The 13,905-nt window shown below is 45.6% G+C and overlaps 1 protein-coding gene across 1 annotated transcript; it reads right to left on the reverse strand.

Annotated features, from left to right (window-relative positions):
* Positions 1–12,217: 12,217 nt before the first annotated feature.
* LOC102724052 (translation initiation factor IF-2-like) lies at positions 12,218–13,146 on the reverse strand (the record flags this gene model as incomplete). The annotated part of the gene is made up of 2 exons (XM_037916380.1): positions 13,105–13,146; positions 12,218–12,829 (listed from the first exon to the last, which is right to left on the reverse strand). Coding segments are annotated over exons 1-2 (654 nt in total), but the record flags the coding sequence as incomplete, so codon positions are not given.
* Between the last annotated feature and the right edge of the window lie 759 nt (positions 13,147–13,905).

The following is a 13,905-nucleotide window of genomic DNA, read 5'->3' on the forward strand; positions in this document are numbered from 1 at the left end:
TTCTCTAGCCACTGCTCATTCTCCTTTACCAATTCTTTTTCTCCTGGGGGCGGGAGGGAATGTTGACATTCCCAGGGTTTTGTCACTGGATGCCTTCTCATTCTACATCTGCATCATGGACAGTTGAGATCGATGACTTTGCCTAATAATTATAACAACATCATTCTACGTCTGCATCTCCAACCTCAGAGTTGGAGGGAAGGGAAGTTACTCTTCTCTGTTGACCAGCTGTACTTCTCCATTCAGTGAACACATCCTACTCCTTTCTCCTGTGCAGTATAAAGGCCAGTACACAACCTGGAAACCTATGAATGATCCAAGATTTCTCTCTCCCCACTAATGTTTTATATTCAATGTTCACTAAATCATATTAACTGTACCTCTTTTCTGCTTCTGCTTTATATTTCTACTGCTACCAAATAAATATGTTTATATTTCCTAGATCAACATGGCCTCTTCATTGATGGTTTTCACAGGAAAAAAGTCCCTACCAACTATTATTTTTTTATAAATAAAAAATTAAGTAAAACAAATGAAGAAGCCATAAGGGCAAGAAAAAGACCAACATTTTAAAATGAGTAAATGGAGTAAATTTACTTTATTTTATCATGGATGGGTGAACACCTTACACTAGATTGATAGTAGTTCAAGCATCGAACTAAAAGGAAACTACAGCTTTAACTACTGCAAAACTTCCTTTCTCTAGCTTACTTTCTTGTACTCAGAATACAATATATAATATATATAACATACCAAATATGTATTTTCATCAGCATGGGCATTGGCAGCACTAAATCCCATGTTGTTCAAGGGCCAACTGTAATTACTGATTCATTTACTAACTGCAAAGAATTTATTTTACAAGTTAAATAGAAGTTCTAATTATATAAAAAGTCTAATTCATTATTATGTGACTATAAAAAACCATGCAATGTAATAACTTAAAAATTTGTTTTCTTATTTACACAAAAAGATCATCTAGAATATTAGGAACCATCATAAAATAATAATTTTTTCAAACAATACTGAGATTATAAACTACCTACAATTAACTTTTTAAATAATTAGAAAATCTAGACTACTAAGTATTTTTTAAATGTGTGCAATTTAAATTGATTTTTTTAAACTGTTTTTTTGTAATCAAAACATCTTTATTCTTTTTTATCTATGGTAGTACCATCAAGAGTAATTCACTATCAGAAATCTTACCCGGATTGCTATTTATAGAAAGCTCTTCATATTTCTTTCTTTTGTATTCAGAAATTAGTCCGGCAATGCTATGTATAAAAATAAATGAAATTAATATTTTAATACCATTATCAAAAACATTTACCAAATATACTAAATTATTAGAGTATCTTGAACAATATCAGGATGTTAATTATCCTATACACTTCTCTTCTGTAAGCTCTACAAACTTCTTAGTACCTTTCTAATTAAATAATAAAAACAGGTGAAGTACTCATGAAGTGAAGGCAGTATAGCTCAGCAAACTATCTCACATCAGCTTGACATAATGGAAAGTCACCTTCCTGGCTCTTACTGGAAGGTCCTGGCTCTATAGTCAACAGGTATTTGCTCTTAAACAAGTTGCTTCTCTTATGCACAATGTCTTCTTCTAGATTTTACTATCTTCTTTCACTAGGTTGTTATATAGGTTTAATGAAGTAGCATTTTTAACATTCACAGAGAAATAGTAAAGCAGTGGAATTTGTTCTTGAACTTTATTGCTGAAACTATTTTGAAATCCCAAATCAAACCCAATGTGTATTTTTTCATAGGTTCTAATATTCAAATGCTTCAGTTTAAGAAAAATGTTAAGTCCTAATTTTGCTTATTGTTCTATTATTTGTGGCTTATAATTCAGGGCATCTCAACTATTTCATAATTCATAAATAAATTAATTTATGAATACATTATTTCATTAAAATAGGTAACACGATTGTTCACTATTATTGAGCTCATCAATTCCAAGGGCAGAAAACTAACAGATGTCAAGATCTGGCTTGGGCTACCACTATTACTTCTCTGCAGACTCTAACTGAACCAGATGTTTGCTAGAATGATGGTTAATCTCCATCAGTGATGTTATCTCCAACTGACATGGAAGACAAAACCCTACTTTCATTTTTTTTAAGTTCCATGAAGTAGATGAAAGTTGACATTTTCTCATTTCCAAGATACATACTAACAAAATATTTACACAACACCCCATGTGTTACTTATCTCCATTCTCAGTTTATAGATCACCTTACACAAATGTTTTTGTAGTGAAAAATCACAATTCAAATATAAGGGGCCACCCATTTTGTTTCGATTCAAACTGTGACTTAGCTAGCCAGCAAACAGTCAAATGACCTTCCCCTGACTGCAAAATATGAAATGTCTCACGATGCTAATTTTCTCTGTATTGTTCCAATTTTAGTATTTGTGCTGCCAAAGCAAATACAAAGCCTTACTTTTACATATAAATGCTGATAAGTCATGGATGAGGGTTAGCTCTGTTAAATCTAACTAACCAACTTGAGACTTAGATAATTCCGATGAATGGCTTCCTGTAAGGTAGAATCTGAAAATATTTTACAAACTTGAGATAGTGATGCAAGCAGCTTGGGAGATCTTCATTATTATAGAAAACAAATCACTTGAGGGGCCAACCACAAGTTGATGCCTCCTACTCTAAGGAAGGATGGCATAGAAGCTTCCACTACCTGAGAAAAGCTCTTACACTGTTTATTTAAAAAGTCTCAGGGTACAGATCTGGTAGCAATAAAGAAAAAACTGTGATCTCTTTCTACAACATTATTTGAATATCTCTGACAGTTTAGAACTATCCCAACTAATATTTGAAGAGAAAAAAAGGGACTCAAAAAGTAACTCACCATGAAGGTCTAGAAGCCCAGGTTAAAATGCGGGCTCTACAGCAGGTTTTGAGTGTGGGTGAAAGTGTCAATTTGCTCAGTATGTATGTTGATAAAGTTAGAATATCCAGCTAACAGAGCAAGGTTCTGCTGTTTTGGAAACAATGGCTGAGCATATAAGTATGTGCAAGTGAACTAAAAAAATAGTTGTAACTTTGAAGCCTTTTTATGGATCAACATGAAGATTGAGGGACCTCAAACAGAAAGGGCATCCTGGTGGCAAAGGTTAATCATTACCAGACTGCAAGAGTACTTTCAATGGCAAGAAAGCAGCAACAGAATCAATGAAAACAAAGCAAAAATTAGAATACCCTTTCCCCTTCTCATTCTGACTTGTAGACACTGATTGTCTTCCTTGGACTTAGGGAACCCCTTAGGTTCTTGAAAAATTCAATGATCAGGCTATAGTAGATGGTCCGCAGTACACAGCACAAGATTTTTTGATAAACTGGACATTTTGAGACCCAAATAACTATTTAGAAAAATCAAACATATGAAACTACTTTATCCTATGCATAGGGGTTATACTGGAAATAAAATGTACAACATTGGAATCCCTAAGGAGAAAAGTCCTAAAAGTTTCAATATCAAGAATCCTGCACCTGCTGCTACTTATCTAGCCTTTTGCTTGATTTCTGGCTGATGAAGTTGCACAACTCTCGAAAACTTAAAAACTTGAAAATTTGTCACTTGAAAACTACTTGAACCAAACTATGAAATCTCACCTGATATATAAGATGCAATTGTTACAATTATTTTAAACTTCAATTTAGTGTTCACTAGCCTTTTTATGTAAAGACTTACACTGAATTCCCAGCCTCAGAGGCATAATCTTCTGCAGTCTTTCCACACACATCTCGAGAAAACATATCAATATTTGCTGCAGAAGAAGAATGACTATATCTTTGTGTTCACGAATAACAGCAAGTGTGAGGGCCGATCTAAAATAACAGAGAGGTAATTAAAAACTTTAATGACATTTTAAAAGCTAAGTTTATATACTTTATCAACTTAATATGTTGTCTGTCCATGTAGAATTAACCCAATTACATGTACTAAGAAACAAGCATCTTGGGTGCTCAAGGGTTTATCTTTGCAAGTTACCACAAAGGTTAAAAGCAAGGAACAAAAAGGAAGCCTCTTGTCCCACTATGGTATGACATAAAGTTGCTAACTTAAAGTCTTTTGATGGGCAAGAAACTATGCTCAGGCCACCTATCTACAGTAGGCAAATTTAAGTGAAAAATTATTCATTTCTTCCCTAGTCTGATACTATACATTATAATGCAAAATCACCTAAAGGGTCAGATAAGAGCTATCTGCAGGCTTAAAACAATAATATTAATAGGAATGCTAATAGTAGTAGTCGTAGCTTCAGTTAATGATGCTCATAAGCATGTGCTAGGCATTTAATTAAACACTATATATAAATATATGTATATGGAGGATAATAATATATCCTTCAAGGGTGTTTGTGTATAAGTAACATAAGTAACATCATATATATATAAAATATAAATATTGTATATTATATATTATCTACAAAATATATAATATACATTATAGATTATTATCTATAAAATATATATTGTATATATTATATATGATGTTACTTACATTATCTTCTTACATACATATGTGTGGGTATATATATATTATATATATGCACATACTTATATGCTCAGCCATTGTTTCCAAAACATCAGCACCTTGCTCTGTAAGCTGGACATTCTAACATTATATATATATATATATATATATATATATATATATATATATATATACATATAATGTTACTTACACACAACCACCCTTGAAGGATATATTATTACCCTCCTTTTCACAGAAGAAAACATACTTGGTGATAAGTAATGTTACCAAGGTCACACATCTAGCAAGTGGGAAAACTAGGGATTAAATCCAGTCCTGTGTGAACCTAAAGCTTGTTTTCATTAAAGTAAAGTTTTATCCATTTAAAGCTATCTTTTCTCCCTCTCCCCATATCAATTAAAAACAACACCAAAACACAGTAGAAATGAAAAACATGAAACCTCTTTAGCTAACATAAGATCATACAATCAAAAGCATCACATTATTACATTATAAATAACACCACATCATATTACAAATAACAAACATCTATCAATATACAAAGCTTTCTATATATAGAAGCCTTTTATGTGTATAATGTCTATATAGAGAGACAAATCCTGCTATATACTGTTCTTTATGTTACTCAGTCCAAATAATTGTTTTTCTACGTGTGATGATCTGTGTTGATATTTCTCACTATATCCCAATAATTAAAAGTTAGTCTTCTTATTAATATAATATTTGTGACTTGAGTGACCGCTACCACTCTACAATGACACTCAGGTTTAAAAACAACACAATAAGAACTAAGGTCTGTACCTGTTAAGACAATTAACTGCATTTATATTTGCATTTTTCTTTAATAAAAATTCCACCATTATCAGTTTTCCTAGATGCGCAGCCAGTAAAAGTGGTTGACATTCAATCTGTAAAACAACAGCAACAATTTATAATCACATAATTACATATTTATCAACTGAACTGAAAACCTTATGTAAGATCCTGTGAGCTTAAATATATACAATTGAAAGGACGTAAGAGGTAGTCCCTTTCTTTTCACTCCTCGGTGCTTTTCTACGTTCTGCTCCTTCCGCTGGAAACAGCCTCCTCTGCCTCACCACAGAACTCTGGTCATCTCCAAAACTCACTTCAAACATTTCCCAGTTCCAAGAATCTTTGCTTCTGTCACAGCATTTAGCATGGCATGTTTCAAGGATTTTATTGTTTCCCACCTGAACCAAGAGCTTCTTGAGGGCAGCAGCTGTATTTTTTTTCTCTATGTCCTCAAACTCTAAGACACAGTAATAAATGTTTCAGGTATTTTTATAAATGATCTAAATTATTATCTATAGAGCGGTGTTTCTTAAACTATTAATATATTCCAAAGGATATTTACTTTACCAGAAGCTCAACATTATACCCCAAAAGAAAGACTTCATGATCACCCATGTTTGAAAAATGTTACAAAACTGTGCATTTTGTGTCTAGTATTTGAGAAATCTTTTTAACTTCACCTAATCCCTATTTGTAAATACTTATTTTGGAGAACGTTAACATTTGAGAAATGAGAGTTTCACGGATACAGTTGTGAGAGCTTACCAGTAAAGGTGGAGGTTTCCTCTGGGTGATACACACTTGCCTCATTCTCTTCTAACCATGGTGTCAGAATCTCAGATGACAACGTCAGGTGCGAGCACCTAATGTTGTCGTCTCAGATTCTGACACGATTGACAGTTCATTTGAAGCCTATCTCTTTTTAATTTGGAGAGCCAGGCTCTGAATTAATAGAGATAGGCTTCAAATGAACTTTCACTGCTTATTATTAAATAGTCCATGGGTTTTCTCTAGTAATATTTTTATCTTAGCTGTCAGAAAGCTCTGTATGAAATGTTATTCTCAATTACAATCTTAGGACCCTGATGCAAATATTTATGTAATTATAATCTTAGGACCCTGGTACATAATTCCTTTAAAAATTTATTTGTATTCTAGTTTCCATATTAATTCTTACTTAACTTTTTTATTTTAGATAAAATATAAATCAGAAATAAAAATACAGTGGCTTATCAATTAAAGCTCTAATAATGACCTATATGAATTATTTATAGCATAATGAAAGCCACTAAATTATTTGCATCATTCATTTATTTATCTATCTATCTATCTATCTATCTATCTATCTATCTATCTGAGACGGAGTCTGCACTCCAGCCTCGGCAAAAGAATGAGACTCTGTCTCAAAAAATAATAATAGTAATAATAATAATTTTTAAAATAAAGAAAAAAGTATTCATGACTCTTGTTAAAGACAGGTAGGAAGACCTTATTCCAGGGGGGCTACCACAATAGGGTTTTGCTGTAGGAGAGCGAGATTGGGCTCAGTCTCACTCTACAAAGGATGAGTAGGATGTACAGTCCAGGAGCAAGGGTGCCGGGTGGGTGGAAAATGACAAAGAGGAGACATTGAGGAGAGGGGATGCTTGCTCGGCCAACTCAGCAGGAATCTTCCTGAAAGCAGGCCAGGGTAACAAGATATCGAGAGTGGAGGATGAGGAATTTGATCAAATATTGAGGGTGATCCCATAGGATTTTCACTAAACTGACCCAGCAGGACTCTTGCTAAACCTGAACTAAACAAGCCGAGGACAGAGCCTAAGGTCAGCGCCTTGAAGGCTTAGTGGAGTAGAGTTAGGTCTAGGAGAGGGTCAGTCACCTGACAGCCATCTGATCATAAGAACCAAGTAGCTTTTCTATCTTTTGTCCAATAACCTTTCTCTAAGCACTGTACCCCAAGGAAAGAAGGCAAATGTTAAAAATCAAAGAAAGAAAAGGAAAAAGTCAGTGGTGTCAAGATACTCACAGCTGCACTATATTTGTTTGTTTGTTTTGTTTTGTTCTGTTTTTTTGAGACAGAGTCTCGCTCTGTTGCCCAGGCTAGAGTGCAGTAGTGTGCACTCGCCTCACTGCAATCTCCACCTCCCAGGTTCAAGCAATTCCCATGCCTCAGCCTCCCAAGTAGCTGGGATTACAGGTGCGCACCACCATGCCCAGCTAATTTTTGTATTTTTCGTAGAAATGGGTTTTTGCCACATTGGCCAGGCTGAACTGCACCATTTTTTAAATAAAATGTTGTCAATAGCCCCAAAGCCTGACAATAGAATCCCAAGTGAACAAAGGCTGGTAAATTGCTGCCTCTTGAAGCAGCTGAAGCTGAACGCTGGGGCTTGGGAGCCAGAACGCTTGGGTTCCAGCTCAGCTCCTCCAGTCACCAAGTGACTTTAACATCTCTCTGCCTCAGTTTCTAACCTGTAAACTAAGGATTGTACTAACTCCTACCTCAAGAACTACCTCCAAGCTTCAGTGAGATCGTGGCTATTGCCCAGTGCCCACGGACTGTGGGAAATGTCCTGTAGCCATGAGCTACAATCAACCACTGCACATCCTTTCCATCCAAGCGCTCTATGAGATCGGGGAGAAAATGGAAACCTATATGGGGTGACCCAAGGAGCTCCCCAGCAAAGCGGGATTGAAGTACAGAGCCAAAAACCAGAGGAGAGTTACCCAAGCATGGCTGGGATGTCCTGAGAGGAGCAGGAGCAGACCTTTCATGCCATCTCCAGACCAGGCCCAGGCAGGTAAGAGGGTGAACAGGACCAGGAATTCGCACGACCCCGGGGGGCCGACAGGAGAACCTGCAGAACCATGGACCCCAGACCTGCAAGACACCAAGATCTGCGCCGGCCCCAAGCACACCCCAAATGCACCTCAACAGGGGCCTGGCCAGGCCCCTGGACCACTGCCTCGGCTCCTCACTCAGGCCCTGCCTCCCTGGCGGCCCTCTCGAGCCCTACCCCACAGCCAGCTCCTGCTTAAACCTAGCAATGCCCCCCAGGCCTGCAATTCTATTATCAGCTTGAACTAGGTCCCGCTGAGAGTGACAGGAAACCCAAATAATGGAAATTGCAACCAGGCAGAGTGTGTTGAATTCTCCCCGGGAGGATGCAGCCTGGAGCTGAGCTACACAGGACGCTGGGAAGCAGGCCCCTTCTGCGCACCATGGCCATCCCCAGGGAGCCCCTCATCAGGCGGCTTAGGGTGGCTTGCCAGCCAGAGAATCAGATGGAGGAAAAATCAGAAAAGAAGAGAAGCAACGCTAGCTTCTGGCAAGAGGCTGGGACTGGTACGTGACATTCTCCTTTTGCCCCAGTGGCCAAAATGTGGTCACGTGGCCATGCTTTACTGCAAGGAACGCTGGGAAATGTAGTCTTTCTTCTTTGCAGCCGTCTTATCATGGAAACAGGGGAGAACGGATAGTAGGGGACAACTAACCAGCTCTGCCACAGCTGAAAATCCAGATTCCGCCATGGCCTACAGGCTCCTCCTGGCCGACCCCCTCGGGAGCCCGGGTGCCTCCCTTCCTCCATGCCTGGTCCCTCTGCCTGAAGCCTTCCTGCCCTCTCTCCTGGCTCCAAGCATCCTGTGGGCTTCCCCCAGCGCTGGTGCCAGCAAAGCCCGATCTCCTCTCTCGAGGCCGCCTGCACTCCCCCTGTGCGTGCATCGCAACCTCTGTCCCTGACACACAGGGATCCTTACCCTCCCCAGGGTCTGTGCTCCCCAGGGAGGAGCCGCACCTCTGGGCGCCCTGAGCCCCAGCCCTGCAGGGTAGGCACCCCATGCGGTGGTTGCAGGCACCCGGCAGTCGCTCCATCCTGGTTTTCAGCCTTTAGTGCACAGAAGCGTGAAGAAGCGGGGGTCACTGGCACGGAGTCCTCCTTGAGAGTCCGGCCGGGGATCCGTACCAGTGGTCCCTGCCCACCTGGGTTAGGAAAGGCTGACTGGCCTGGGGAGGCTGTGGACGACGTCTGCGGTGTCATCTGAGTGCCACGGCCATCACTTTGAGACGGCGTCTGCTTGCTGCAGCCAGGCAAAGGTCTTAAGGAAGGCCAAGGCCACTGTCGACAGGTGTGTGGCTCCAGATTGAAATTGTGACAATACCCCCAGCCATGCCCTTCCATCTTCCCACCGTGCAATCAGTGCACCACCTCCCACCATGCAATCCAGAGCACCACCTCTCAGCAAAACCTCCAGGATCCACCTCAAACCCAGCCCCATCCCACAGCCATCACCCTGGTCCGGGCCACCAATAGCTCTTGCTCGGACACAGGCAGTCACCTCTCCAGGGAGCACCCAGTGTCCCTTCTGCCCTCGTTCTGGTCCGTCCTTCACCCACAAATGGAGAGTGTATTTTAGCATTAGATCAGTTCATGTCGCTCTCTCGCTTAAAACCCGCCCCTGGCTTCCACTGCCTGGCATGAGAATCACCACTGCCTGCCCCACGGGACTGGCCCTGCCACCTGCCCCATGCCCGCTCCCCTAGCTCATGGTCCCCCAGAGTCACTGGCCTCCACCATCCTCTCAGCCAAACCCCACCAGCCACCACTGCGTGCCACCCACCCACCCCGCCAGCCTCTCCATCACGTATTCCTCCTTCCCTTCTTTTGGGAAACTCTTTTCTTCTTGTTTGTTCATTTTATTTTCTGTGTCCCCAACTCGAATGGAGGCCACGCGGAACACTGTCTGTCTCATTCACTTCTGTGTCCCCGGAACCTAGAACCATGCCTGGCACACAGAACGTGCTTGATAGGTACTGAGACAGAGACATACAGAGAAGGAAAGAGGGAGAGAGACAGAGAAAGAGAGAGAAAATAAGAGAAGGGGAAGGAGAGATGGCGGAGAGGGAGGGAGAACCGAACACTGAATCCAGGGGTTCCTCTCCCACCCCTCATGTGCCCATGGTAACAAGGGAGTCCCCCTCTTCTGACCCCTTGTTGTCAAAAAGTCCATCAAGCAAGAACGCCCGAGCCCCAGGCCCCCTCTGAAATTCCCAAGAAGGAAGCACCCCAAGAAGGAAGGCGCGCAGGACGCTGCTCTGGAGCCATCGGGTTCCCGGTCTGCTCACCACACTCAAGGAGCCCCTTAACAGGAGCAGGAGGAGAAAAGACACCCAGCCTGGGGTTCCCCCCGGACAAGGCCATGCTGTGACCCAGGCTTGGTCCTGGCCCTGACCGTGGGAAGCCCACCCCACAGGCCCTCACCCAGGCAGGCCTGAGGCCCATGCACCGCTAAAGGCCTGGAGAGGGGGTCCCACCGCAGCCTCACCTGGGTCCCCTGGGGTCAGGGTAAGCTGGGACAAAGGGACCACCGGTTGCTATGGGAGAGGGAGAAGGCACAACTTTCCCGGTAGAATGGGCTCCTGCTGTGCTCTGAGCCCTGGGTCACTGTCCGCACTCTGGGGAGGGAGGAGAGGAGCCTGGAGCCCCAAGGGCGCGGCTGGCAATAAAGGCAGATGCTCAAGTTGATGCCGTCCCACGCACTTGAGGCTGGGTCCAGGAGTGGCACTGACACGGCTGGGGAGCCCACTCCCGAAGTATGACCCGGGGATGTGCACAGCCACATTCCAAAGACACACGGGATGAGATCAGCCCAGGTGACCCTGGGACTTTGCCCTCTTCGGCAGGAGCCAGCCCTGTGCACCCTGTGTGCCTGTCCATCTGGAAGGCCCAGCATGAGAGGCCCGACCGTCCTCCTCACTGTGGCTCTGCCCACGCTCCTGGCTCCCAGGGCCGGGGCACCGGTACAAAGTCAGGGCTCCCGGAACAAGCTGCTCCTGGTGTCCTTCGACAGCTTCCGCTGGAACTACGAGCAGGACGTGGACACCCCCAACCTGGACGCCATGGCCCGAGACGGGGTGAAGGCACGCTACATGACCCCCGCCTTTGTCACCATGACCAGCCCCTGCCACTTCACCCTGGTCACCGGTGAGTACTAACCCAGGATGGGGCCTGGGGGTGGGAGGGCCTGAGAAAATAGGTGGCACAGAGCCCTGTCGTGCAGGAAAAAGGGGAGAGGTCCTTGCTCCATGCACAGGACACAGCCAAGGGGAACATTAGGAATACCTCACCGTTGGTAGCAACAGATCTGGGACAAAGAAAAATGACCAGGGGGGTCCTTAAACCCGTGGCCACAGGCAGGGCAGCAACCCCAAAAGGCTTCAGGAGGAGGGGAGTGTGGCAGGCTCCCAGCCGGCTCCCACGGCTCCCCTCCCCTGCCCGCCCGTCCAGCTGGCTGTGTCAGCCTCTCCCTCTCCCTTGCATCGTTTCCATCTCCCAGCCAAGACCTCCCTGACAGATCTGCCCAGCCTGTAGACAATACAGACAGGTTTTTAAAAAGCCAAATATGGGGCCAGGCGCAGTGGCCCACGCCTGTAATCCCAGCACTTTGAGAGGGTGAGGCGGGCAGATCACTGGAGGTCAGGAGTTCGAGACCAGCCTGGCCAACATGGCGAAACCCCGTCTCTATAAAAACACAAACATTAGCCAGGCATGCTGGCGCATGCCTGTAATCCCAGCTACACAGGAGAATTGCATGAACCCAGGAGGTGGAAGTTGCAGTGAGCTGACATCGCGCCACTGCACTCCAGCCTGGGTGACAAAGCAAGACTGCATATAAAATATATATGTCTATACATATATTTTTGCTCCCGCAGCCGCGGCTTTTTGCCGCCGCTTTCTGCCGCCGCCCCTTTTTGCCGCAGCTTTCTGCCGCCGCCGCCGCTTTCTGCCGCCGCCGCCTTTTGCCGCCGTCGCCGCCGCCCCGGCTTTTTGCCTCCATCCCCGCCGCCGCCGCTTTTGCCGCCGCCCCCGCCGCGGTTTTTTGCCCCCGCCGCCGCCGCGGTTTTTTGCCCCCGCCGCCGCGGCTTTTTGCGGCTTGTTGCCCCCGCCGCCGCTGTTTTTTGCCGGCGCGGCTTTTTGCCCCCGCCGCCGCGGCTTTTTGTGGCTTTTGCCCCCGCGGCTTTTTGCCCCCGCCGCCGCGGGTTTTTGCCGTCGCGGCTCTTTGCCCCCGACGCCGCGCCTTTTTGCCCCCGACGCCGCAGCTTTTTGCCCGCCGCGGCTCTGAGGGCGGGAGCGGCACACTCGGCTGCCAGCTCTACCGGCGTCCTGGCTCGGGCAGCGCTGAGGGGCGCTCCTGGTCCAGCTCTCCCGGCTCGGGGGTCCCTTGCCTACGCGCCGGCGCCCCGGGCTCCCCGCCTTGGCCGCTGCGGCCTGCATAGAGCGGCGCTCCGCGCGGCCGCGATGTGAGAGAAGAAGGAGGGCGGTGGCGGGGGTGATGCGCCGGCCGCGGTGGGAGGCGCAGGGGCGGCGGCCAGCCGGGCGCTGCAGCAGTGCGGGCAGCTCCAGAACCTCATCGGCAGCCTGCGCGGGCTGCGCACCAAGTGCGCTGTGTCCAACGACCTCACCCAGCAGGAGATACGGACCCTGGAGGTAAGGGGTGTGTGGACCCCGGCTGGGCTCGAGGAGCGGCCCGGACACCTCCCTCCGGGCCCTAGTTCACTTCTGGCGGAGTTGCATCCTTGAGCTCGAGTCGCCCGGTTGGAGGCTTCTCCCTCCTGCACTTGCTGATGCGGCAGCCGGAGGACCCGGGTCCAGCCCTCACCTTGGGCAGGATTTCTGGGGCGGGTGCGTGGTCGGAACTGGGATAGAGGCTCGAGGGGCCCATGGGTGGGGTGGGCTGCGCGCGGACATCCCCTTACCCCCCCCCCCCCCCGAATTTCCATCTGGTCCAGCCCTCTCATCTTGTAGGTGAGGAAACCGAAGGCCTGAGGGAGAACTGACTTGCCAGGAACCCCTGTTAAGGAGAATTAACAAAGAGTGGTTATTAAAGGAGAACTGAGTTGGGAGTCAGACCTGGAGGCCCACACGCTTGGTTAAGACATTATACCACCTTGAATCTGGCATGTTGACTGAGGGTGAGCCACTCCATCCTCGTCTGATTGTGGGGTCTTGACCTCAAGGGGTTTCTTGCAGGAAAAAGCAAATAGGCTTGCTTTCCTAGCTCTGTCCAGTACCTTAGGGACCCTGAGGACTGGAGAGATTCTTGGAGAGCCATCTGGTGTATGTCATGGGTGGGCCTTTTTTGAAGGTCAGTCTGCCCAGTGGGCTGGCTCAGCCCGAATGAACTGTCTTGAATCTTTGGAGTTGTCTGTGTACTTTTAAGGGCTTCTCATCCTTGCACCAAAAGATCCCCTGGAAATTAGGTGGGAAAACCTTAACTTTTGTGGGGCCTTGTGTTTGTCTTAAAATTCCTGCACATGGCCAGGTGGGGTGGCTCACACCTGTTATCTTGTCCTGGATCCCTTGAGTCAAGGAGTTTGAGAACAACCTGGACAATATAGTGAGACCCCGTCTCTACAAAAAATAAAATATTATCCAGGGGTGGTTGTGCGCATCTGTAGTTCCAGGTACTACTGTGGCTGAGGCGGGAGGAGCACTTGAGCCTGCACTGAGCTGTGATCTCACCAGTGTACTCCAGTCTGGGCCACAGAGCAAGACCT

This window comes from Homo sapiens, assembly GCF_000001405.40.
Source record: "Homo sapiens chromosome 16 unlocalized genomic scaffold, GRCh38.p14 Primary Assembly HSCHR16_RANDOM_CTG1".
NCBI classification, from domain to species: Eukaryota; Metazoa; Chordata; class Mammalia; order Primates; family Hominidae; genus Homo; species Homo sapiens.